This window comes from Homo sapiens, chromosome 6, assembly GCF_000001405.40.
Source record: "Homo sapiens chromosome 6, GRCh38.p14 Primary Assembly".
In the NCBI taxonomy this organism is placed as follows: domain Eukaryota; kingdom Metazoa; phylum Chordata; class Mammalia; order Primates; family Hominidae; genus Homo; species Homo sapiens.
The window spans coordinates 106,477,995-106,502,665 of NC_000006.12; the positions used below are offsets into that span (position 1 = coordinate 106,477,995).

At 39.5% G+C, this 24,671-nt stretch overlaps 1 protein-coding gene and 1 long non-coding RNA gene across 3 annotated transcripts in view; one reads left to right on the plus strand and one right to left on the minus strand.

Moving 5' to 3' along the window:
• Positions 1-24,671, plus strand: part of CRYBG1 (crystallin beta-gamma domain containing 1) — a 211,301-nt gene that overhangs the window by 117,278 nt on the left and 69,352 nt on the right. The window lies entirely within an intron of this gene.
• On the minus strand, positions 13,251-24,227 carry LOC101927405 (uncharacterized). The gene is made up of 3 exons (XR_245566.4): positions 23,921-24,227; positions 22,922-23,020; positions 13,251-13,337 (listed from the first exon to the last, which is right to left on the minus strand). It is a non-coding gene; the product is annotated as an uncharacterized LOC101927405 (long non-coding RNA).

The following is a 24,671-nucleotide window of genomic DNA, read 5'->3' on the forward strand; positions in this document are numbered from 1 at the left end:
AGGGCACGGCTGTTGTTCTCCCTGGCAAGGAGCCAAATGTCAGTACAAGTGCCAGACTGTGCCCCTAAGCTGGGATGTGAGTGGGTGAGATCAGCTAGGGGAGGGATGTTGGTTTCCACCACTGCTCCTTTGGGTTTGGAAGATTTCAGGATAATCCCTCGTATCCTTCAACCCTGTTGGGTTATATCCGCGCACCACATCAAAGCTGTTCAATAATGAGGGTGCACAAAAATTAAAAAGAAAATAATGAGTGTGTATGTATTATCCTTTTGTTTGAAGATTAGATCTATCTTATCTCTTCTTGTAAACCTTAATTCCAATTATGTTTGTAATCAAAGCGAGTTAAGCTCTGGTTTGGGCTCAGACTGATGACAGCTACAATCTAGAAACTGATGCATATACTGAATTATAAAATCTTATGCTGAAAGTAATTGTCATGTGGGACAATGCCTGAAGGTTTGGGTTGTTCCTCTTACACACCTGCTAAAGACAGTGTGACATTTGGCAGCACACAAATCAATGGAAAGTGTGTCCACATCGAAGGTATTTTGTATCCCAACATACCATTTTTATACAACACATGTAAGTGCCACATACCTTCTACTTTGAAAACCAACCACAGAGCCATAGATCAGGGGCCCCCGACCCCTGGACCATAGACCAATACCAGTCCATGACCTGTTAGGAACTGGGCTGCACAGCAGGAGGTGAGCGATGGGCATGCAAGCAAAGCTTCATCTGTATTTACAGCCATTCCCCATCACTTGCATTACCACCGGAGCTCCACCTCCTGTCAGATCAGTGGCGGCATTAGATTCTCATAGGAGCACAAACCCTGTTGTGAACTGTGTGTGCAAGGGATCTAGATTGCATGCTCCTTAAGAGAATCTAATGTCTGATGATCTGCCACTGTCCATCACCCCCAGCTGGGACCGTCTAGTTGCAGGAAAAGAAACTCAGGGCTTCCACTGGTTCTGAGTGGAATTATACAATGTGTAGCTTTTTGCGTCTGGCTTCTTTCACTTAGTATAACATTTTCAAGGTTCTTCCATGTTGTAGCATGTATCAGTACTTTATTCCTTTTTATTGCCAAAAAATGCCACCTTTTATTCATTAGTTGATGAACATGCGGGTTGTTTCCATTTTTGACTGTTATGAATAATTCTGCTACGAACATTTATGTACAAGTTTTTGTATGGACATATATTTTCAATTCTCTTGAGTATACATTTAAGAATGGAATTTCTGGGTGTCTTAGCTTGGGCTGCTATGGCAAAATACCATAGGCTGAGTGGCTTATACAACAGATATTTATTTCTTACAGTCCCATCACAAGGGCACAACCCTCATGACCTATTCCAAACCTAATTACCTCCCAAAGGCCCCACCTCCAAACAGCATCCCACTGGGAGTTAAGCCTTCAATATAAGAATTTTGGAGTGACACAAACATTAGCTCATAAAACTGGATCGTATGGCAATTCTACATTTAACATTTTGAGAAATGGCCAAACTGTTTTCCAAAGCGACTGCATCATTTAACAATCCCACCAGTAATGTATAAGGGTTCCTTTTTCCCTACATCCTCACCAACACTCGTTGTCTTTTTTATTTTAGCCATCCTAGTGGGTGTGAAATAGTATCTCATTGTGGTTTTGATTTGCATTTCTGTAATGATTAGGGATATTGAGCATCTTTTTATATGCTTGTTGGCTATTTGTATATCTTCTTTGGAGAAATGTCTATTGAAATTATTTGCTTATTTTTAATTAGGGTTATTTGTATTTTAATTGCTGAACTGTAAAAGTTCTGTATGCTAGACCCCTATCAGATATATGATTTGCAAATATTTTCCTCCATTCTGTGGATTCTCTTTGCATTTTCTTGAAAGTGTCCTTAGAAGCACAAAAGTTTTTAATTTAGATGAAATCTAACTTATCTATTTTTTTTTCAGGTTGGTTGTACTTTAGGTGTCATAAGAAGCCATTGTTAAATTCAAAGTCACAAAGATTAAAACTCTGTTTTCTTCTGTTTTATTTATAGTTTTAGCTCCTCCATTTAGGTCTCTGATCCATTTTGAGTTATTTTTTGTATGTGGGGTGAGATAGGGGCCACCACCATTTTTGCTAGAAATACAGTCTGTTTCTCAGTGACATGATGCCAGGGGAGACATTAATTGCAGAACTGATTGTCAAGACTTAAGTATGAAGTTCATAAGCCCAGTGCTATGTGGTTCTGGTTAGGCACAGTATGATAGGGAAAAGTGATGCAGGCCATAAAAGTGATGCAGTATGATAGGGAAAAGTGATGCTGGCTGGCCCTGTGACTAAGTTAGGATTGCACACTGTAGCCTGAAGTTTAGAGGATTTGGATATTAAAAGAAATTGTGGGCCGGGCGCGGTGGCTCACACCTGTAATCCCAGCACTTTGGGAGGCCGAGGCAGGCAGATCACGACGTCAGGAGATTGAGACCATCCAGGCTAACACGGTATTTTTTTCTCTACTGAAAAAAAAAAAAAAAAATTTAGCCAGGCATGGTGGCATGCACCTGTAGTCCCAGCTACTTAGCAGGCTGAGGCAGGAGAATCACTTGAACCCGGGAGGCGGAGGTTGCAGTGAGCTGAGATCGCACCACTGCACTCCAGCCTGGGTGACAGAGCAAGACTCCATCTCAAAAAGAAAAAAAAAAATTTGGCACCTCTGCATGGTAGCTCACGCCTATAATCCCAGCATGTTGGGAGGCTGAGGCGGGTGGATCACTTGAGGCCAGTAGTTTGAGACCAGCCTGGCCAACATGACAAAGCCCTGTCTCTACTAAAAGCACAAAACTTAGCCAGGAAGGGTGGTGCATGCCTGTAATCCAGCTGCTTGGAAGGCTGAGACATGAGAAGCGCTTGAACCTGGGAGGCGGAGGTTGCAGTGAGCTGAGATCATGCCACTGCACTCCAGCCTGGGTGACAGAGTGAGACTCTGTCTTTTTTTTTTTTTTTTTTTTTTTTAGACGGAGTCTCGCTCTGTCGCCCAGGCTGGAGTGCAGTGGCGGGATCTCGGCTCACTGCAAGCTCCGCCTCCCGGGTTCACGCCATTCTCCTGCCTCAGCCTCCCAAGTAGCTGGGACTACAGGCGCCCGCCACCACGCCCGGCTAATTTTTTTGTATTTTTAGTAGAGACGGGGTTTCACCGTTTTAGCCGGGATGGTCTCGATCTCTTGACCTCGTGATCCGCCCGCCTCGGCCTCCCAAAGTGCTGGGATTACAGGCGTGAGCCACCGCGCCCGGCCGAGACTCTGTCTTAAGAAAAGAAAAAATTGGCTGCTCCAATGGAGGTGAAAGTTTAGCTTACTGTCATTCTGACAAACTAAATTTATAAAGAGAACAACTACCAAACCTTACCAGCCATAGAATTAAATCATGAGAGGTAGATAAGGTACACTTGCCACCCCATGCTGGTCTTCATGGTGACTGAGGTCTCAGCCCTTCCTTTCCCTAATCTCATCTGCATCTCCTCTCTCTGAAAGAGAGGGAGAAGCCCTCTCGATATCTTTACCTTCTCTCCTGGAGACCCTCTGTTTGTTCTTCCGTCCCTCTCCACCCTTCTGCATCCTACTGTGTCCTAGATGGACTGCATCAACCAGTTCTCTCTCATTGATCGGCAGGCTTCCTGTTGGGGGTCAAACAAAGGGAAGTCCTGGCAGGAGATAAGAAAAAGGGAGGGAAATGAGGCTGGGGTATTCATACTCCTGGTTCCCTCCCTGTGGGGCCACTGAAGGCCGGCCTATCCCTCAGGCCCATCAGGGTCCTTGCAGCACAGCCCTCTCTGTACCTGTCCTGGGAGCTGCTCTCTCCCTGTCCTTCATGCCTGCCATTAGTCCTGGGATAGGATACTACTCATGGGGGTTCCCCAAGTCTTGTGCACACGTTTGCCCCTTTATTAGACTGTCATCAGATCAACCCATTTCTGTACTTTCTTACTTACAGGACCTGACTGATACACGTTCTCTCCCAGTCAGGTATTTATGTGCGTGATACACTCCCAGGTTCCTGCTGTCTAGTGTACTTTCGCTGTGTCCTCTGCACAGGGTCTTGCAAGGCTTCAGTCAAGGTGTCAGCTGGGGCTGCAGTTTCATCTGAGGCTTGGGGTCCTCTTCCAACCTCACGTAGTTGTTGGCAGAATTCATCTCCTTGAAGTTGTAGAACTCATAGCAACTTGCTTCTTGAAGGCCATTGAGAGAGACAACCTGTGATGCTTCAAATCTTCACCTCTTTCAAAGGGCTCACCTAATTAGGTCAGGCCTACTCAGGATAATCTCCCTTTTGAGTACTCCAAGTCAACTCATTAGGGAATAATTTCATCTGCAAAAATCCCTACACCTTTGCAGTGGAATGTAATCTGATTATGGGAGTGTCATCCATCCTATTCACAGGTCCTGTAAAGGGATGGAATTACACAGGGAAAGTACACCAGAGAGCAGGAATCTGGGAGTCATCTTAGAATTCTTCTGGCCAGGCATGGTGGCTCACGCCTATAATCCCAGCACTTTGGGAGGCCGAGGGGGGTGAATCACAAGGTCAGGAGATCGAGACCATCCTGGCTAACACCGTGAAACCCCGTCTCTACTAAAAATACAAAAAATTAGCTGGGCGTGGTGGCGGGCACCTGTATTCCCAGCTACTTGGGAGGCTGAGGCAGTAGAATGGCATGAACCGGGGAGACAGAGGTTGCAGTGAGCTGAAATCGTGCCACTGCACTGCAGCCTGGGCGACAGAGCGAGACTCCATCTCAAAAAATAATAATCATAAAAAAGTAAAAATAAAAAAAGAATTCTTCCTACCACAAATATTTTTGGGCCAACAGTCTTTAAATTTTTTTAATTGACATCTTGTAATTGTACATATTTATGGGGTATAATTTGATGTTTCAATGTATGCTGTATACTAATCAAATCAGAGTATTTAGCATATTCATCACCTCATGCATTTATCATTTCTTTGTGGTGAGAACATTCAAAAGCCTCTCTTCTAGCTATTTTGTAATATACAGTACCTTACTGTTAACATCACCTTACTGTGATGTTATAGAAAATCAGAACTTACTCTTTCTATCTAATTGTCACTTTGTACCTGTTGACCAGCCTCTTCCCATTCACCTCCAATCCTCCAATCTCTGTCAGCCACTGTTCTACTCTCTGCTTCTATGTTATCTACTCTTCTTTGTTTGTTTGTTTTAGATTCCCATATAAGTGAGGTCATGTGATATTTGTCCTGGCACTTGGCTTATTTCACTTAATATGATATCTTCTGGGTCCATCCATATTGCCTCAAATGACAGGATTTCATTCTTTTTATGCCTGCATAGTATTCCATTGTGTGTGTGTGTGTGTGTGTGTATATATATATAGATATATATATAAAACATTTTCTTTATCTACTTATTTATTGTTGGACAATTGAATTGATTCCATATTTTGGCTGTTGTGAATAGTGCTACAATAAACATGGGAGTGCAGATACCAATTTCATTTCCTTTGGAATACATACCCAGCAATGGGATTGCTGGATCATATGGTAGTTCTATTTTTAACTTTTTGAGGAATCTCTATATTGTTTTCCATAGTGGCTGTACTAATTTATAATCCCATCAACAGGGTGTAAGTGTTCCCTTTTCTCCACATTCTTGACAACACTTGTTTTCTTTTATCTTTTTGATGATAGCCATTCCAACTGGAATAAGGTGATAACTCATTGTGGTTTTGATTTCTATTTCTCTGATGAATAGCAATGTTGAACATTTTTTCATAAACCTGTTGGCCATTTGTATGTCTTCTTTTGAGAAATGCCTATTAAGGTCTTTTGCCCATTTTAAAATCAGGTGATTTGTTTATTGGTTGTTAAGTTTTGTATTTTACAAATCTTATTTAAAAAAATCTCTGCCCAGCCTGATGTAAAGCATTTCCTCTACATTTTCTTCTAGTAGGTTCATAGTTTTGGGTTTTACATTTAAGTCTCTAATCCATTTTGAGTTGATTTTTGCATATTGTGAGAGGTAGGAATCTAGTCTCATTTTTCTGTATGTGGCTGTTCAATTTTTCCAGCACCATTTATTGAAGAGACTTTTTCCAAATGTGTGTTCTTGTCACCTTTATTGAGAATCAGTTGGCTATAAGTGCACAAATTTTGGGGGGGCACTATATTTTGTTCCATTGGTTTATGTGTCATTTTTTATGCCAATACCATGCTATTTTGTCTACCATAGCCTTGTATTGTATTTTGAAGTCAGGTAGTGCGATGCCTCCAGCTTTGTTCTTTGTTTGTTTGTTTAGAGGCAAGGTGTCACTTTGCCACCCAGGCTAGAGTGCAGTAGCGTGATCATAGCTCCCTGTAGCCTCAAACTCTCAGGCTCAAGCAATCCTCCAGCCTCAGCCTCAAGCAATCCTCCAACCTCAGCCTCCCGAGTAACTGGAGCTATAGGCATGTGCCCACCCACACCCAGCTAATTTTTTTCTTTTTTGTAGAGACAGGGTCTTGCCATGTTGCCCAGGCTGGTCTCAAACTCCTGGCCTTGAGCGATCTTCCTGCCTTAGCCTCCCAAAGTCTGGGGATTACAGGTGTGAGCCACAGCACCTGGCCCAGCTTTGTCCTCCTTGCTCAGGATTACTTTGGCTACTCAGGTTCTTTTGTGGTTCCATATGAATTGTAGAATTTTTTTTTTCTGGCTGGGTGTGGTGGCTCATAACTGTAATCCTAGAACTTTGGGAAGCCAAGACGGGAGGATCACTTGAGCCCTAGAGTTTGAGTCCAGCCTAGGCAATGTAGTGACATCCCATCTCTACAATATGGAAAAAAAAAATATTAGCTGGATGTGGTGGTATGTTCCTCTGGTTCCGGCCACTCAGGAGGCTGAGGTAGGAGGATTGCTTGAGACCAGCAGTTCAAGCCTGCAGTGAGCTATGATGGAGCTACTGTACCCCAGCCTGGGCAAAAGAGCAAGACCCTATTTAAAAAAAAAGGTGGGGGGGATTTCTTTTTCTATTTCTGTGAATGTCATTGGTATTTTAATAGTGATTGCATTAAATCTGTAGATTGCTTTGGGTAGTATGCCCATTTTAACAATATTATTTCTTCCAATCCATGGACAGAAGATAGCTTTCCATTTCCATTTGTGTTCTTCTTCAATTTCTTTAATCAAAGTTTTATAGTTTTCAGTGGAGAGATTTTACTTCCTTGGTTAAATTTATTCCTAGATATCTTAATTTTTTGTAGCTATTATAAACAGAATTGTTTTCTTGATTTCTTTTCCAGATAGCTTGCTGTTGGCATATATTAAATAGAAATGCTACTGATTTTTCTATGTTGATTTTGTGTTCCATGACTTTACTGAATTAGATAATTAGTTCTAACAGGTTTTTTTGGTGGATTCATTAGGGTTTTCTAAATATAAGATCACATCATCTGTAAACAAAGACAATTTAGCTTCCTCCTTTCCAATTTAGATGTATTTCTTTCTCTTGTCTAATTGCTCTAGCTAGGACTTCCAGTATTATGTTCAGTAAGAGTGGTGAAAGTAGGCACCCTTGTCTTATTTGTGATCACTGTTTCATACATTCAGTATGATGTCAACTGTGGGTTTGTAATATATGGCCTTTATTGTGTTGCAGTACATACCTTCTATATCTAATTTGTTAAGAGTTTGTATCATGAAGGGATGTTAAATTTATCAACTGCTTTTTCTAAATCTCTTGAAATGGTTTTTGTCTTTTTGTTAATGTGGTGTGTTGCATTTATTGATTTGTGTATGTTGAACTATCCTTGCATCCCTGGGATGAATCCACTTGATCATAGTGGATGATATTTTTAATTGCTGTTGAATTTGGTTTGCAAATACCTTGTTGAGAATTTTTGCATGTGCATTCATCAGGGATACTGACCTGCAGTTTACTTTTTTTGCAGTGTTTTTGTCTGGTTTTTGAATCAGGGTAATGCTGCCTTCATTTCCTTTCTTCTACCAATTTTGGGTTTATTTTGTTCTGTTCTTCTAGTTCACTGGGGTACATGGTTAGGTTATTTATTAGAAATCTTTCCTCTTTTTTGTTGTAGGTGTTTGTTGCTATGAACTTCCCTTTTAGAACTGCTTTCGTTGTGTCCCACAGGTTTTGCTTTGATCTGCTTCCATCCTCATTTGTCTCAAGAAACTTTTAAATTTCCTTCTTAATTTCTTCATTGACCCATTGATTATCAAAGAACATATTATTTAATTTTCATGTATTTTTGAGGTTTCCAAAGTTTTTCTTCTTAATTTCTAGTTTTATATCATTGTGGTCTGAAAAGATATTCTATCTTCTTAAATTTTTCAAGGCCTGTTTTGTGGCTTTACATGTGAAGATCTATCCTGAAGAATATTCTATGTGTGGTTGAGAAGAATGTGTATTTTGCAGCTATTGGATGGAATGTTCTGTAAGTGTCTGTTAGGTCAATTTGGTCTATGACATAGTTTGTTGATTTTTCTGTCTAGATGGTCTGTCCGTTGTTGAAAGTGTAGTGTTGAAGCCCACTATGATTACTGTATTGCAATCTCTCCTTTAGAGCTAATAATCTTTGCTTTATATATTTGCTCTGGTATTGGATATATATATATTTACAATAGTTACAGCTTCTTGTTGACTCAGTCCCTTTATCATTATATAATGATCTTTCCCTCCTTTCACAGTTTTTGACTTAAAGTGTAATTTATCTGATATAAGTATGGCTACTCTTGTTCACTTTTGGTTTCCATTTGCATGGAATCTTTTTCCATCCTTTTATTTTCAGTATATGTTTGCCTTTAATGGTGAGGTTCATCTCTTATAGTTGGGTCTTGTTTTTTATCCATTCAGTCACTCTATATCTTTTAACTGGAGAATTTAATCCATTTACATTCAAGGTTGTTATTGATAGGTAAGGACTTACTCCTGCCATTTTGTTAATTGATTTCTGGTTTTTTTGTAGATTGTTTATTCTTTTCTTTCTCTTTTTGTTGTTTACCTCTGTGACTTGGTGGTTTTCTGTAGTACCAACCTTTGTTTCCTTTCTCTTTGTTGTTTGTGTATCTATTGAAATTTGTGTGTGTGTGATTACCGTGGGGTTAACAAAACAAGTCTTGTAATTATAATAGACTATTTTAAGCTGTTAACAACTTAACTTTGGTTCCATACAAATACTCTAGGCTCCTCCCCAACCTTTTTGCATTTTGGTTGCTTAATTTACATCTTTATCTTTTATGTGTTCTTTAGCCACTTAACTATTGATGTTTTTTACCTTTTTGACTTTAAATTGAAGAATTTACATGGTACCATTACAGCACTGGGGTATTCTGAGCATGGTTATGGATTTACCTATATTGGTGAGTTTTGTACTTCCATGTGTTTTTATGATATTAATTATCACCCATTTGTTTTCCTATTGTAAAATTCCTTTAAGCAATTTTTGTAAGCCTGGTCTACTGGTGATGAGTTCTCTCAGTTTTTGCTTGTCTGAGAAGTTCTTTTATTTCTCTTTCTAGTCTGTTGTTGAAGCTCTCAATGGTATTTTTTATTTTTGTTTATTTATTCCTCAACAGAAGCCACGTTTACTGTATTTTTTATTCACTGTATTTTGTTCATTGAATTCTTCAGCTCCAAGATTTCTGTTTGGTTCTTTTTTATGATATCTATCTTTTTGTTGAATTTCTCATACAGATTATGAATTGATTTCCTGCTTTCATTGAATTGTCTGTATTCTTATATTTCACTGAGTTTCCTTAAGATCATCATTTTGAATTCTTTTTCAGGGATTTCATAAATATCATTTTTGGGAGGATCTGTTAATGGAGACTTATTGTGTTTTGGGGGAGGTGTCATCTTTTCTTGCTTTTTTCTTCTTGTGTCCCTACATTGATATCTGTCCATCTGGTAATACAGTGGCTTTTTCCAATTTTATGGAGTGGCTTCTATAGGAAGAGGCTTTTTCCTATACCTGGGTCTAGGGTGTTGGTTGGGAATGGTGCATTGACTTTGGTTCTGGGTGAGTAGACTCAGTAGTGTGGTCTTCATAAAGATTCTTCAGCTGTGATCCTTACCTGCAATGCCTGTGATTAGCTCAGTGTCCCAGACTGCAGTCTATGACTGTGGTGGTATGGTTTTGCAGGGGTCAGGGGCACTAAGCTGGTTGTTTGCTGGACATGTGCAGATGTGGCAGGCCAGCAGATTATGTGGTGGGCTCTCCTTAATGGCATGGTCACCACTGTGCTATCTGTCAGGTCTGGGTCAGATGCGTATAGGTTAGGCAGCTGAGTGGGCATTCTCTCCAGTGGTGTAGGGTCCCCTCCAGGCTTGCTCTCAGGCCAGGGAAGACATAAATGGCCTGGTTGCTGCACAAGATCCCTTCCTGTGGTGCAGGGCCATCTCCAAGCTGGCTGTCAAACCAGGGTTGGGTAAATGTCCAACAGTTGTGCACAACTCTCTCTGGTGAGGTGGGGCTGGCTATAAGGCCAAGGGCAGGCACATGTGGGTAGCTGCTGCTGGTAACCTTCTATGGTGGGGTGGTGCCACCTTACCAGTTGTCAATCCTGGGGCAGGTGCTTGCAGGCCAGAGGCTATACGCAGCTCTCTCTGGTGGGGTGGGCTGACTTTAGGCCAACTGTCAGGCAGGGGGGTGGGTGCCTGTGGGCCTGATATCTGCTCATGGACTTCCCACTGCTGCACAGTTGGCTTGTGTCCCTGGGTGATAAGGTGCCTCATGAATTTTGGCGTGGGTGTCCCAGTTGTTCCTTTGGGCCTAGGTTCTGGGTAGCTGGGGTACTGGTATTGTAGGCACCTGTGGGAATTTAGTGTAATGAAAGCAAGGTGTCAGGGATGGATTGGTGGAAGGCAGTGTACACTCCAAATATGGGTCCAGTTTCAAGATGGTGTTGTGCTGTAGTGGCTTAGATCCTGGGGATGGGAGGTGTCAAGGGAGTTCTTGCTCTGGGAAATGCAAACGCAGCTGTTTAGACTCCCAGCAACTGTTCACACTGGACTTAGGGCCTTCCTGCAGCAATGACTACTAGAGTCTGTGGCAGTGTGGAGACTGCCAAGGGTCTGCAGCTTACTTTTTCTCATAAGAAAGGTCTCTCCAGCTCTGACCTGATCCCAGCAAGGAGACAGTGTGGCAGAGGCAGGATTCCTTACTCCCCTTTCTATGGAGTGAGCTGTCCTAGGCTTCTGTGATCCACAGGGGTTTTGTGGTTTTCCTGGTGCTATCCAGCAACTTCCTCAGTCACTCCAGTCAGAATATAGCCGTTTATTCATTGTTTTGGTTTCTTTGGGTTAGGGGGATGAAAGCCAGGCAACTCTAGTTGGCCATCTTGCTGATGTCACTCTCAGTGGGCCAAGGTCTTGATAAAATGTTGATTTGATTGTGTCACAAGACCAAAAATTGCTTCAAAATAGAAAAAAATCAATTACTATTTTTAATGTAAAAGTCTTTATATAATATATAGGAAAAGATATAATTCCCTTGTCATTTTTTTGGTAGATTGAAAAAGAAAACATTGGCCAGGCACAGTGGCTCACCTATGTAATCCCAGCACTTTGGGAGGCCGAGGAGGGTGGATCACCTGAGGTCAGGAGTTTGAGACCAGCCTGGCCAACATGGTGAAACCCTGTCTCTACTAAAAATACAAAAAAAAAAAAAATTAGCCGGGGGCGGTAGTATGCACCTGTAATCCCAGCTACTCAGGATGTTGATGCAGTGAAACAAGATTGTGCCACTGCACTCCAGCCTGGGTGACAGACTCTGTGTCCAAAAAAAAAAAAAAAAAAAAGAAAGAAAATGAAAACATTGATAATTGTGAATCATTTTAGTTTGGTTGTAGTTTCTGTTCATTTTATTTTATCCAGAAATAAGAACACAAAATTATCCTCTGTAAATGATGCATTGAGTTTGTTCATTAATATCTGGAGAAACAGAGATTAAATGCCTAAAATGTCTAAAATGTGCATAGGTGAAGAAACATAAAGAACTATAGGAAGAATTTGTCTTCTACGGAGAGACTCATGACTCCAGCAGGGCATGAAAAGCCAACCAAAGAGGGGAGTCCTTAGTCCACATTACAGTTGTCATTTCCCTCTCAGAATGTCTACCTACTGTTTAGTGAAATATATCTACAAAGCTGGAGTGATGTAATGCTGTTGGCTTCTTAAAAGAGCCAGGAGAATCCCTCCTTCACCCTGGTGTGAATGCAGGCTGTTTCCCCTGCATTTCCCCTTTGGGGAAGCAACAACTGTGGCATAACCATCTTTAAGCCAGGCTTGCCTGGCATGAGGTTTGCTAAAGGAATAAGGACAGAAAGAAAATTCTGTAGCTTAGTTTAGGGGGGAGCAGTTCACCAGGTAGGCTATGAAAGAGGAACTAATCGAAACCTAATAAAATAGATTGAGGAGATTAAAATAAAGGATAGTGAATTAAAGATTATATCTTTCAGAAATGTCATATTTTTTACACTCAGAAGATTTGTAGGGCCCTATGAACACTTTCTCTACATTTATCCACATGTACATCATCTGTGACTCGTAGCTGAAATATGTTTATATGAATTTTTTTCCAATATGATATGGAAGGGCAGGGCTAGCAAATGTGGGAGGAACATCAGGTGCTGGCAATTTTGCTTTCCTTTGCATTTAGCCCCACCTCTGTGCATTGCAGAACTCAGTCATAGAGTCAGGAGCAGGAATACAGATTCACAGAAAGAATGAGCATGTGAGGAAAGTCCTCAAGCTAGAATTGACCCCTGGCAAATTTGGCTAAGGGAGCAGAAAGTAGAAGGTGTGCCAAATTCCCATTCCCTTTCTCACACTCTGTGAAAAGGCCTGTTGCTCTTGATGAGCACTTGATCATTTTTCAACTTGTACTTCAAAAAAATGTGTCCTCATGATATAGTATAATATCTTGATTAAGGCTGGAAAGTAACTAAAACTGGCAGGTCTTCCTCTAATTGCTGTGTGATATTAATTTAACGAAGCCTCCTCTTGCAAGAGAATTTCATTGGTTTGTTTAAAAACAAAACTACAGGCTTGCTATATTTATTTCATTCATTATGATAACCACAAAGCATTACCCTTTTTTCAAACACTTTATTTAAACAAAATGATGAAATACTCACAAGTCGTGTCAGAGCAGTTATTGCGTATGCTTATTAATGAAGGTCTCAGTACAAAGGCTCCTCAGCATGAGCCACCTGTGTGGAGGCTGCATGCAAAAGGACTGACTCCTGATCAAAAACTGGAAAATGCTGATGGAGGCTGAAGGCAGGTAGATGTGTCTTTTGTCTTTTACAGGGAACATTGCCCTATAACAGAGTTAATAATGCCATTTACAAACTGGAGCTTATATTTTTTCCTACCAAATTGTGATCTACTATGAGACTGACTTAGGGCTGAGATAGAGCATAGAGGCATAACTTTGAGAGTGAAACCTACATGGTTTGTGGCCATTTCCACTGAGAAATATTAACTTCCCCTAAGTTCAACATGACCCAAGCTGGACTCCCTACCCTCCGACGGAGCTCTCCAGTGCTCTTCCAGGCCTCGAGACTCTGCGTCATGGAGTTCCTTTGGATTCATCTCTCTCTCTCAGTGTCTGCTTTCCTTTGGTTCTTTCTTTTCCTCCCTCCATTTCCATATGTGGTGGTCACTTCAGGCCTCTTAACACCTTACGTCTGAACTGCTGACTCTAGGTCCTCATCCACTTGGACCCACCAGGGGCTGCAATGCTTTCCTTTCTCCAACACTGCTGCAGATCATGTCGCCTCCCCGCTCAGAAACCTTAAAAGTTTTCATATTTCCCATGACATCACACCTAAGCTTCTTGACTTGCCTCTCAAGGCTTTCCCCAAACGAGATCAATCATACTTATTCAACCTCCCATATATTCATTCCACCAATCTTCTTCGTGCCTTATAACTCCAGTTCGACCCCTGTGCCTGGTGTCATTTGGTTGCCTTTCCTCAGTCTGTTCCCCTCACCCAGAATGCCTTTTCTTGGCCCTCATCTTATTAAATCCATCCTTTAAGGCTAGTACTGTGTTCTTCCTGTGGTCTTCTGACTGCACACCCTCACTAATCTCTTTCTCTTTGAACTCTTAAAGCATTACGCATATCTCAACTACATACTTTAGCAACTAATTATATGTCTGTCTGCACATTAGTGGTTGTTTTATAGACAAGCCTATAAGCTTCTAGATGTCAAAATAAGTCGTATGTTGTCTATCCATTCCATACTGAGTACATGGTAGGTGCTGTATAGAAGATACTAATTGTTTCATATCTTTTCTGTGCAGGTTGGGTTAATAGAAGAATTCCTATTTTCATATTATGTTTTCAAGTACTTATAAAGTAATAGTACCAAACAAATGTTTATAATATGAATGATTGTTAGAGAATTAGATTAGTATTAGATTATAAGGGTTTTATCTGCTATTAGCCATAATACTTCTGAAGAAAGGAAGGAAGTGGGAGAGGGAGGGAGGGAGGAAGAGAGGAAGGAAAGAAGGAAGGGAAGAAGGAAGGAAAGGAAGGAAGGAAGGAAGGACCGACCCAGAGCTAGGGTGCTTGTATTTTAAGTATTTATTCAAACGCCACCTTCTCAACAAAGCACTGCTTCTTCTACGCAGGCCATCCATATATGGTAGTTATTATCATATGGCACTTATCATATACATACCTCTAAATATTATAACAATATCCCCTTGTATTGTCTTCACATATCCATCCTTCTTCCTTCCCTTTTACCTCAAACTGAGTTCTTAATGTAAGAGACTTGTCCTTTAATCCCTGAATCTGCAAAGCTGGCAACCAATAAATGCTTGTTGAATGAATAAATGAAATACGGGAGCACTCATGTAACCATGAGTGTGACATTCTGTAAATATAGTCATGGTAGGCAAATGACCATTGAGTCTTTTCACAAATTAACCTTTTTCTATTTTTAATTTTTTTTTTTTTTACTTTTAGGAGAGCCTGTTAATCTATTCTATTTTTATCCTTTTACATAGACTTACAGAGAAAATTACAGAAGAGTTTAGATCAGGAAAAAATGAATCATTTCTTGCCAAGCCTGGGGGATTTTGTAATATTTTTGTAAAATTAGATATCACTATCTTTTTTGTATAACCCTTCTGAAAAACAGAAACAATCTTTAAAAAATGGGCAAAAGACTTGAATGACATTTCTCCAAAGATAAATAAATGGCTAACATGCATAAGAAAAGATGCTCAACATTATTAATCATTAGAGAAATGCAAATTAAAATCACAATAAGATATCACCTCACATCCATGAGGATGGCCACTATCAAAAAATAATAAGTTGGTGAAGATGTTGGGAAACTGGAACTCTTATGCACTGTTACTGGGAATATAAAATGGTGCAGCTACTATAGGAAAGAGTATGGCAATTCCTCAAAAAGTTAAAACTAGACTTACCATATAATCTACCAGTCTCAGGGTGTATATATCCAAAAGCATTGAGAGCAGGATCTCAAAGAGATATTTACACACCCATGTTCTCTGCAGCATTATTCACAATAGTCAAGAGAAGGAAAGAAACCAAATGTCCATCAACAGATAAATGGATAAAGAATATGTGCTGTAATAAAAGGAACGAGATCATGTCCTTTGCAGGGACATGGATAGAGCTGGAAGCCATTATCCTCAGCAAACTAATGCAGGAACAGAAAACCAAACACCGCATGTTCTCACTTATAAGTGGGATGAGAACACATGGACACGTGGTGGGGGAACAACACACACTGGGGCCTGTCAGCAGGGGAGGGGAAGGGAGAGAATCAGGAAGAATAGCTAATGGATGCTGGGCTTAATACCTAGGTGATGGGTTGATCTGTGCAGCTAACCACCATGGCATACGTTTACCCATGTAACAAACCTGCACATCCTGCACATATACCCTGGAAGTTAAAATATAAGTTAAAGGGGAAAAAAAAGAATATGTGGTATATGCATACAATGGTATATTATTCAGCCATAAAAAGAATGAAGTACTGATAAATATGCATGTGTCAGTCTGCATACATATGCATACAACATAGATAACCTTGAAAACATTATGCTATATGAAAGAAGCTAGTCACCAAAAACAAATGTATGATTCCATTTAGACGAGATACCTAAAGTAGTCAAACTCAGAGTCAGAAAGTAAAATTGTGGTTGCCAGAGGCTGGGGGTGGCAGGGGGTGGGCAGAGGAGAATGGGAGTTTCTGGATGATTATAGATTTCAGATTTTCAAGATGAAAAAGTTCTGGAGATCTATTCTACAGCAATGTACATATAGTTAACACTATAGAACACTACACTTTAAAAATGGTTAAGATGGTACATTTTACGTTTTGTGCTTTCTACCACAGTTAAATTTAAAAAAATGAATAGCATTTCAAATGCATATTCACCATCAACAATACGCTGACATGAGCCAGCAGATGCTTAATATATGTTTCTAGTACTGGTGGTCATGATGAAAGAAAGAGGAGAACATTTTTTCTTGATGTACATCAAAGACTTAAGTAATTAAGAGGTCTGATAGTAGTGTCATTATTTTGTGGAAGAATGTAACTTGCTATCAAGTACTGAAAACTTCTGATAAGACATATAGCAAGTAGAAACTATAGACTAAATGTTATGATAACTTATAATTATCTAATTATATTGATAAATTTAGGTGTCCATTATTTAAGTATTATGAGGTGAGCATAATTTTTGCCTTTTCAATTATTATGTTGCATGCTTGGACACATTTTTGTAATGGCACATGGGATGTAGTTTGTAGTGTATAATGTATATTTTTGTTTTTTAAAAAAGTGTAAGTAAATAAAAGCTGGAATTAAAATAAAGCAAAACAAAACACACAACATTAAATAAAATTGACCTTGTTCACCAGAGAAGGAAAATCAAAGGTACCATATATCCTTCTTTCTCTACCTACTTCCTATCTACCTATAATCCTATAATCAGGTTTTTCATGCAATTTAATGTATGCAGGGCAACTTTCTACAAACTACCTACTACTTCCTCTGTTGTCTTTTCAGCAATTTTGGTTCAGTGTCACACCCAAAAAAGGGCACACCTCTTTAACACTTTCAACTCTTGAATCAAACACACCCTTATTAAATGTGCTTTTCACATCAACAGTCAGTGTCTGTCATTCAGCTCTGGGAGAGAGCCGGCTCTGGCTCTGGGAGAGAGCAGCACTGCCGAAGGTGAGCTGATGAGAGCTCACCAGGGTATGCTGGAAGGAGGAGGATGAGACAAGGGTAATTTGAGAAGTAAGAAGATTGATATGGTAATGCACACACGGCTACATTTTACTTCCCATATTCTCTTGGTGTATCTATAGAAAACAAAAAAGAAGCAACACTATGGTAAGAAACTAACTGAAGTTTTTCCTTTTCATTGCCTAAGACTTTGTTTTGGACTTATATAGTATTATTAATAACATCAAGTAACTTCACAATGTATTTATTGTCTAGATCTGGTAGTTTTGGGGGGGCTCAAAAATCTGAAGCATTTGTGAATATATGGAATATAGTGGGGGGGCTGAGTACCCTTGGATACTTTGGCTCGAAGCAGAAATAAAAATGTCCAGTATAGGATCTGCTGCTGTCTGTGCTTTTCTAGGTTCTTTAAAATATTACAGGTAATCATTAACAAGCTACTCTCATTGAATATATTTGAGTTAGTTCCATCAGTCATTCTTACAGCATCTATTTTATAGACCCATTGTTGAGTGTACTATAAATAACTTATTTAATCCTTTTTTTCCTTGAGTAAAAAAAAAAAAAAAAAACAACTTTCCCCCCTGCCCCCTTTTCAAATTTCAAAGGCAAAGTGATATTCAACTCCTTGGAAAAAGACTAGTAGGGAAATATTGCTTTGAGAGTAAGGATTGATTTTTATTTTTCTTAATGGTAGGCAAAGTTAGAACTCTACTACACATTCTTTTAAAATGTAGGTTATCTTTCAAATGTGTTCCCAGTGGGTGTTGACGGCCTTCTGCCCTCATCAGCCTGTCCCCATAACAAGTTATTATGTATTGCACATACTTTCCCCAAACAAGATTTTATTTGGACACAAAAATTTATTGGAGACACTGGGCTTCTTACAACCCTGCTATTTAAGAAGTGGTTGGGATTAAAATAAATTATAAGAAATAACAATCCTGTAAACTTTTAAGAAAAAGAAGTTTACATAAGACCTATTAAACTTTGCTTCACCAGTTTGGTCATAGAGGCATAAGTATAAAGCCCCGATTAAATGTTGGGCGTTATTAGCCTTCCTTTTCTTTGTTAATAGTTTAATACTTAACACTTTCCTTATCATTTGATATTTTAGACACAATGGCTTAATAACTACACTGACAAATCATCTTTACACTAAGGTATAAGCTCTTCATCTTCCCCTAGAAATCGTAACAGAATTAATACCTCGTGACTTAAAACCTTTTTTGAAACAATTTGCCAATTTTTTTTTTTAATCTAGGTTTAAGAGCGTCATGACTATGAACCTTCAAAAATAATTTTAAGTTTAATTGAAATTTCTGATATTTTGGTCAACCATCTTATTAGAGACTAATTATAAATATCTAAAAATCTACTAAGCAGATTAACTATAGCCTATGTACATTGATAGGTAAACTTAGGTTGGTGAGAATGGCAGGAGGAGGTATTTTGGCCAGGCTGATCATTTTGAAGGTTGTTTGTCTCTTGAGTTTCTCTGTGATACAAGATAAAGATACATGGCAAGTGCTGCAGGTACTAACAGCGTAGTGGCTAGTGAGACGACATTTTAATTTTCATTCGAAGTGTTGAAATGGGCAGGAACCTGCTGCCTGTGCCTCCAGGTGTAATCAGGACTAGAGCAGGGCAGGAGAGCCTGGCGCACAGGCTTGTCCACCCCAAGCCTGTACAGGAGCAGTGTTTGCAAAACGCAATCCAGAGGCACAAGCCAAGGCAGAGAGAAGGCATCTGAGGCTCCCGCTGCCTGCCAGGAACACTGTAGTAAGAGGGTGATGAAATATTTCACTTTTCAAAACCGAAAGAGCAGGAAATTTCTCACCATCAGCCCACTCCTGACACATATAGTCCTAACCTCTGCCACCCTCCCCACCCCCCATGACACCAGCCCAAGACAGAATCTAATGGAATGGGTGAAGAATAAAACCAAATTCCATACGAGGGGAAATCAGGCCGGTCTTCCTGAAGGTAGAAAGAAACTGAGTGGGAAAAGACATTCGATGTTGCATGAAAACCCTTACAAGGATAATTTTATAGAATATATTCACCCCAACGAGAGGAAGTGTGAACTGCTTCCAAGTTCAGCAGTTCGATGTGGCTTTTTGGGCTCTCCTGGAACTGTCCTTCATGGCTCATACTCCTTGGTCTCCATGGTCTATTTCCTGTCTTTTACACCTGTCGGCCTTCCCCCTGCACCCCTTAGTAGCAGGCTCTGCTTCCAGCTCTTTCTGTGTCTGAGGGGACCTGCCTTGTTCATCCCTGTTCATGTTTACGTGTGTGTGCACACATGTGTGCGTGTATGTGATAGTCAAATACAGCCCAAAGGAACAGAACAAGCAATAGAAGAAGAGAAAGAGCACAAACATTACTAGGCATCTTCTAGTCCCACCAGCTATGTGTGACCGTTGGCAAATCCCTTTTCACCCTGCAGTTTTTTCAAATGTGAAATGAAGATAACAATTATCACCTCACATGACTGTTATAAAGTACTTGGCACATGCAGGTTCTTAAGAACTGTCAGCTGAGGCTGGGCGCAGTGGCTCATGCCTGTAATCCCAGCACTTTGGGAGGCCGAGGTGGGCAGATTGCCTAAGCTCAGGAGTTCTAGAGTGGCCTGGGCAACATGGTGAAACCCTGTCTCTACTACAAATACAAAAAAAAATTAAAAATAGCTGGGCGTGGTGGCGCACGCCTGTAGTCCCAGCTGCTTAGGAGGCTGAGGCATGAGAATCGCTTGAACCCAGGAGGCAGAGGTTGCATTGAGCCAAGATCACACCACTGCACTCCAGCCTGGGCTACAGAGCGAGACTCCGTCTTAAAAAAAAAAAAAAAAAAGTCAGCTGAAATAAATCACAAAAGAGGAAAAACTGAAAGGCCAATAGGTATATAAAACATAGTCAATGCCATTAGAAACCAAAGAAATGCAAGCTACCTAGTTTTGCAAAATATAGCTTACACTAGAAAAGTGTATGAACATACAAATAATGACTAATTATAAAGCAAACACCTGTATTACTAGACATAATTCAAGAAATAGAATATTGCTGCCACCCGTTAAGTCTCCTCCTGTTGGTCTCTCTGATCAGGTTTTGATCACAGTCCCTAAAGACACAATCCGGAACGCCATAATCCCGAATGGGGTTGTGATCCAATCCCATTAGGAATGTATCTTATGGAAATAATTAATGATATGGGTAGAGATAAGCCAGGAATACATTTTCTGCAGCCTGTGATACGTTAAAAATAATATAAATGAACAACTGTAGCAATTGTGGTATATCAGCATAATGGAATTCAATGTGACCATCAGAAATATTAATATCGGTCACACCTGTAATCCTAGCAGTTTGGGAGGCTGAGGTGGGCAGATAACTTGAGGTTAAGAGTTTGAGACCAGCCTGGCCAACATGGTGAATGACCATCTCTACTAAAAATACAAAATTAGCCAGGCGTGATGGTGAGCACCTGTAATCCCAGCTACTCAGAAGGCTGAGGCAGGAGGATTGCTTGAACTCAGGAGGCAGAGGTTGCAGTGAGCCAAGATCATGCCACTGCACTCCAGCCTGGGCAAAAAAAGTGAGACCCGTCTCAAAAAGAAAAAAAATAAATATAGAGGTATATTTATTGGCACGAACTCAGTGAAAGGACAATATACCAAACAACATATACAAAATGATACTGTGTAATGCCCTGGGGAAAAATAAGCCAAGAAAAAAAATAGTAACAATGATATTTTGGGATGAAAAAATTAAGGATAATTTATATATTTTTCATTGTAGTTATTCATATATTCTGACTTTCAAATGTAAATTTTTTTTGCATTTTTTTTTGTTTGTGTGTTTTTTGTTTTTTGTTTGTTTGTTTGTTTGTTTGTTTTTTGCTTTTTTGAGACGGAGTCTCTCTCTGTCTCCCAGGCTGGAGTGCAGTGGCGTGATCTCAGCTCACCGCAACTTCCGCCTCCCGGGTTCAAGCAATTCTCCTGCCTCAGCCTCCCAAGTAGCTGGGATTACAGGTGCCGGCCACCACACCCGGCTAATTTTTTTTTTTTTTTTTTTTAGTAGAGATGAGGTTTCACCATGTTGGCCAGGCTGGTCTCGAACTCCTGACCTCAGGTGATCCACCTGCCTCAGCCTCCCAAAGTGTTGGGATTACAGGAGTGAGCCACCGCACCCAGCCTGTGTGTGTTTTTTTACTTAAAAATTTTTAAATTTAAATTTAAATGTTTAATTGACAAATAATTTTATATATGGGGTATAATGTGATGTTTTGATGTATACATTGTTGTATACGTTGTAATTGTATACATTGTGTTGTATACATGGATGTATACATTGAAATTATTGTATCCAGAAAATTAACATATCCATCACCTCAGATACTTATTTTTTGTAATGAGAACATTTAAAATCTATCCTTTTAGCAATTTTAAAATATGTAATACATTAGTATTAACTATGGTCACCATGCTGTGCAATAGATCTTGAAAACTTATTGCTCCTAATTGAAACCATATATCCTTTGACCAACATCTCTCCAAACTTCCCCCAACTCACAGCCTCTGGTAACCACTATTCTACTCTCTACTTCTGTAAGTTTGACTTTTTAAGAATCTAAATATAAGTGAGATCATGTGTTATTTATCCTTCTGTGCCTGGCTTATTTCACTTAGCACAGTGTCCTCCAGGTTCATCTATAGTGTTCCCAATGACAGAATTTCCTTCTTTTTTAAGGCTGAATTATAGTCCACTGTGCATATATACCCCATTTGCTTTATCCATTCATCCACTGGTGGACACTTAGGTTGATTCCATATCTTGGCTATTGTGAATAATGCTGCAATGAACACAGGGGGCCAGATATCTCTTCAACATACTGATTTCATTTCTTTTGGGTATGTACCCAGAAGCAGGATTGCTGGCAGTTCTATTTTTGTTTTATTGAGGAACCTCCACACTATTTTCCATAATGGCTATACTAATTTATATTCCCACCAACAGTGTATAAGAATTCCCATTCTCCACATCCTCATCAACACTTATCTTTCACCTTTTTGATCACAGCCATTCTAACAGGTGTGAAGTGATAGTTCATTATAATTTTCATTTTCATTTCCCTGATGAACAGTGATGTTGAGCACTAAAAAAAAAAACAAAAAAAAAAACCTCTTGGCTATTTGCATGTCTTCTTTTATGAAATGCCAGTTCAGATCCTTTTTCCATTTTTTAAATCAGATTGTTTTTGCTGTTGAGATGTCTGAATTCCTTGTATATTTTGGATATTAATCCCTTATCCAATGTATGATTTGCACATATTTTCTCCCAATCTATAGATTTTCTCTTTACTCTTTTGTTTCCCTTCCTGTGCAGAAGCTTTTTAGTTTGATACAATCCCATTTGTCTACTTTGTGCTTTTATTGCCTGTGCTTTTGGGTCAAATATGTATTTATTTCATGGTTTTCTTTTCCATTTCCCTTCTCTTCCCCAGAGATTGTATTGGGCATTTTACAAACATTTCAGTTTATCCTTAAAATAATCCAGAGGAGGAATATTTTAGAAACTAGATTTTGGGGAGTCATTTGAGAAAGAGAATAAGGCTAGAGACAGGCCTTTGTTTCTATCTGAAAGTTGCTTACTCAGGTTCGGTGATAGGTGATTGCCCCAAACCACTGTCCATTCCATGATACACTGTTGTCTGACTCTTGATTGTTGATAGGCTGGAGGATAAAGGATTTCTGGAAAATATGTACATTTGGTAAATATTTAAGTGCCTATTGGTACCAAGCATTGATGAAGAGGTAGGGACACAGGTGAACAAAATAACGTTCTTGTTCCTCACGAAGCTTATGTTCTGTAAGCAGACACAGCAATAAAGAAATATACAAATATATATGCAATATGGTTCAGGTAATGTTAAGTGCTATGAAGAAAAATAAAGGAGAATAGATCATAGAAAGTGAGGGTGCTGTTTTACATAGGGTGATTCAAAAGTGTTCACCCTGCATAGTTTGCATATCCTCCATACCTTATGAGCTGCAAAAAAGAGATTAAAAAAAGAGTAGGCTTATATTGTTTTCTTTATTCTAGCCATGACACATTAAAGATGAGTGCTCATGAGCAATGATATGCCAAGTTCTGCAGACAAATTAGCTCTGTTAGAAACTACATCTGATAAAGCTGTTATTTTCATCTCCTTCTCACCAGTTGAGAACCATAAATTCATTGTGTTACTTACTTAGTTTCTATAATTTTAACTTGAGCAAAACATCAGCAAAATATCGCACTGTTAATAAAGCCAGCCATCACTGTCATAGGCTACTTTGTGCTTTTCAAAAGATGTTCACATGTATCATTTCACATGAATTTCTCAGTACCCTGTATGATAGATGTGCAACTTTTGAGAGAATAAGTGATTTGATCCCATTTAGTAGTATTCCTGAGTTCTGATCATAGAAGTGTGAAATCTACTTCTTAATTTGCAAAGTGTTGGTAGAAAGTCAACAATTCTCACTAGAAACTACAGGAAACTAAGACATTTCTGGGCAGTGTATATTAATTGGAAAGATAAAGATTGTTCCATTTTCTAGAAATAAATCCACTATTAAATCCACACTTACAAACATGGCTAAACTGACCTGAAGTTATGAGGTCTCAAGGTCACTAGAAGTCTCAGAGCCAGCCTAGCTAGAGTCCGTGCTGTGTTGGAGAGGCTTGTCTGTTCCTCTTCTCCAGCTCTCATTTCTCTTCTGGGTCCCAGTCAGCCCCAGGGCCTCTGACTTGGCTGTAGCTGTGCCTGGTCGGGGCAGGCAGGCTGTGTTAGTTGTCTCCAAGGGCCGCTTCACCCTCTTTCCCCCAACTTAATCACCATCTCCTGCATCATATCATTTATACATGGATGACCCAACTGAAGTTTAGTCCTTGGTTCTTTAGTACTTAGATTCTGAGACTCACCAGTGGCTTTTAAGTGCTTTAAAGTAACCATTCTTGATCTTTGACATGAATTATTGCACAAGTCATTCTTTTTAAATTGCATAAGGAATGTACTTTCTGGGTTACAAGTTAATAAAAAGGAACTGATTTGATGACTTCACAAGGAACACATTTCCATTTTCCAGTTTGGCTAAATTTTAGTTAGGAACTAACTTGTCAGTAATTTGATTATGTTAATCAGGATATGCATATAATCCAGGAGGTAGAATAAGAAATACTTTTGCTATAAATTTCAAACTACTCTATCTCCTTTTAATTACACATTATGCATAAGAAAAAAAATCGCCGAATTAGGATAATACATCTCAACTGTAAAGCAAATTAATTCAGCCGGATAGCTTTGTGAGAAAAAGAGAATGTTGGGGAGACTATTCAAAGTACAGGTAGAGAAACCTT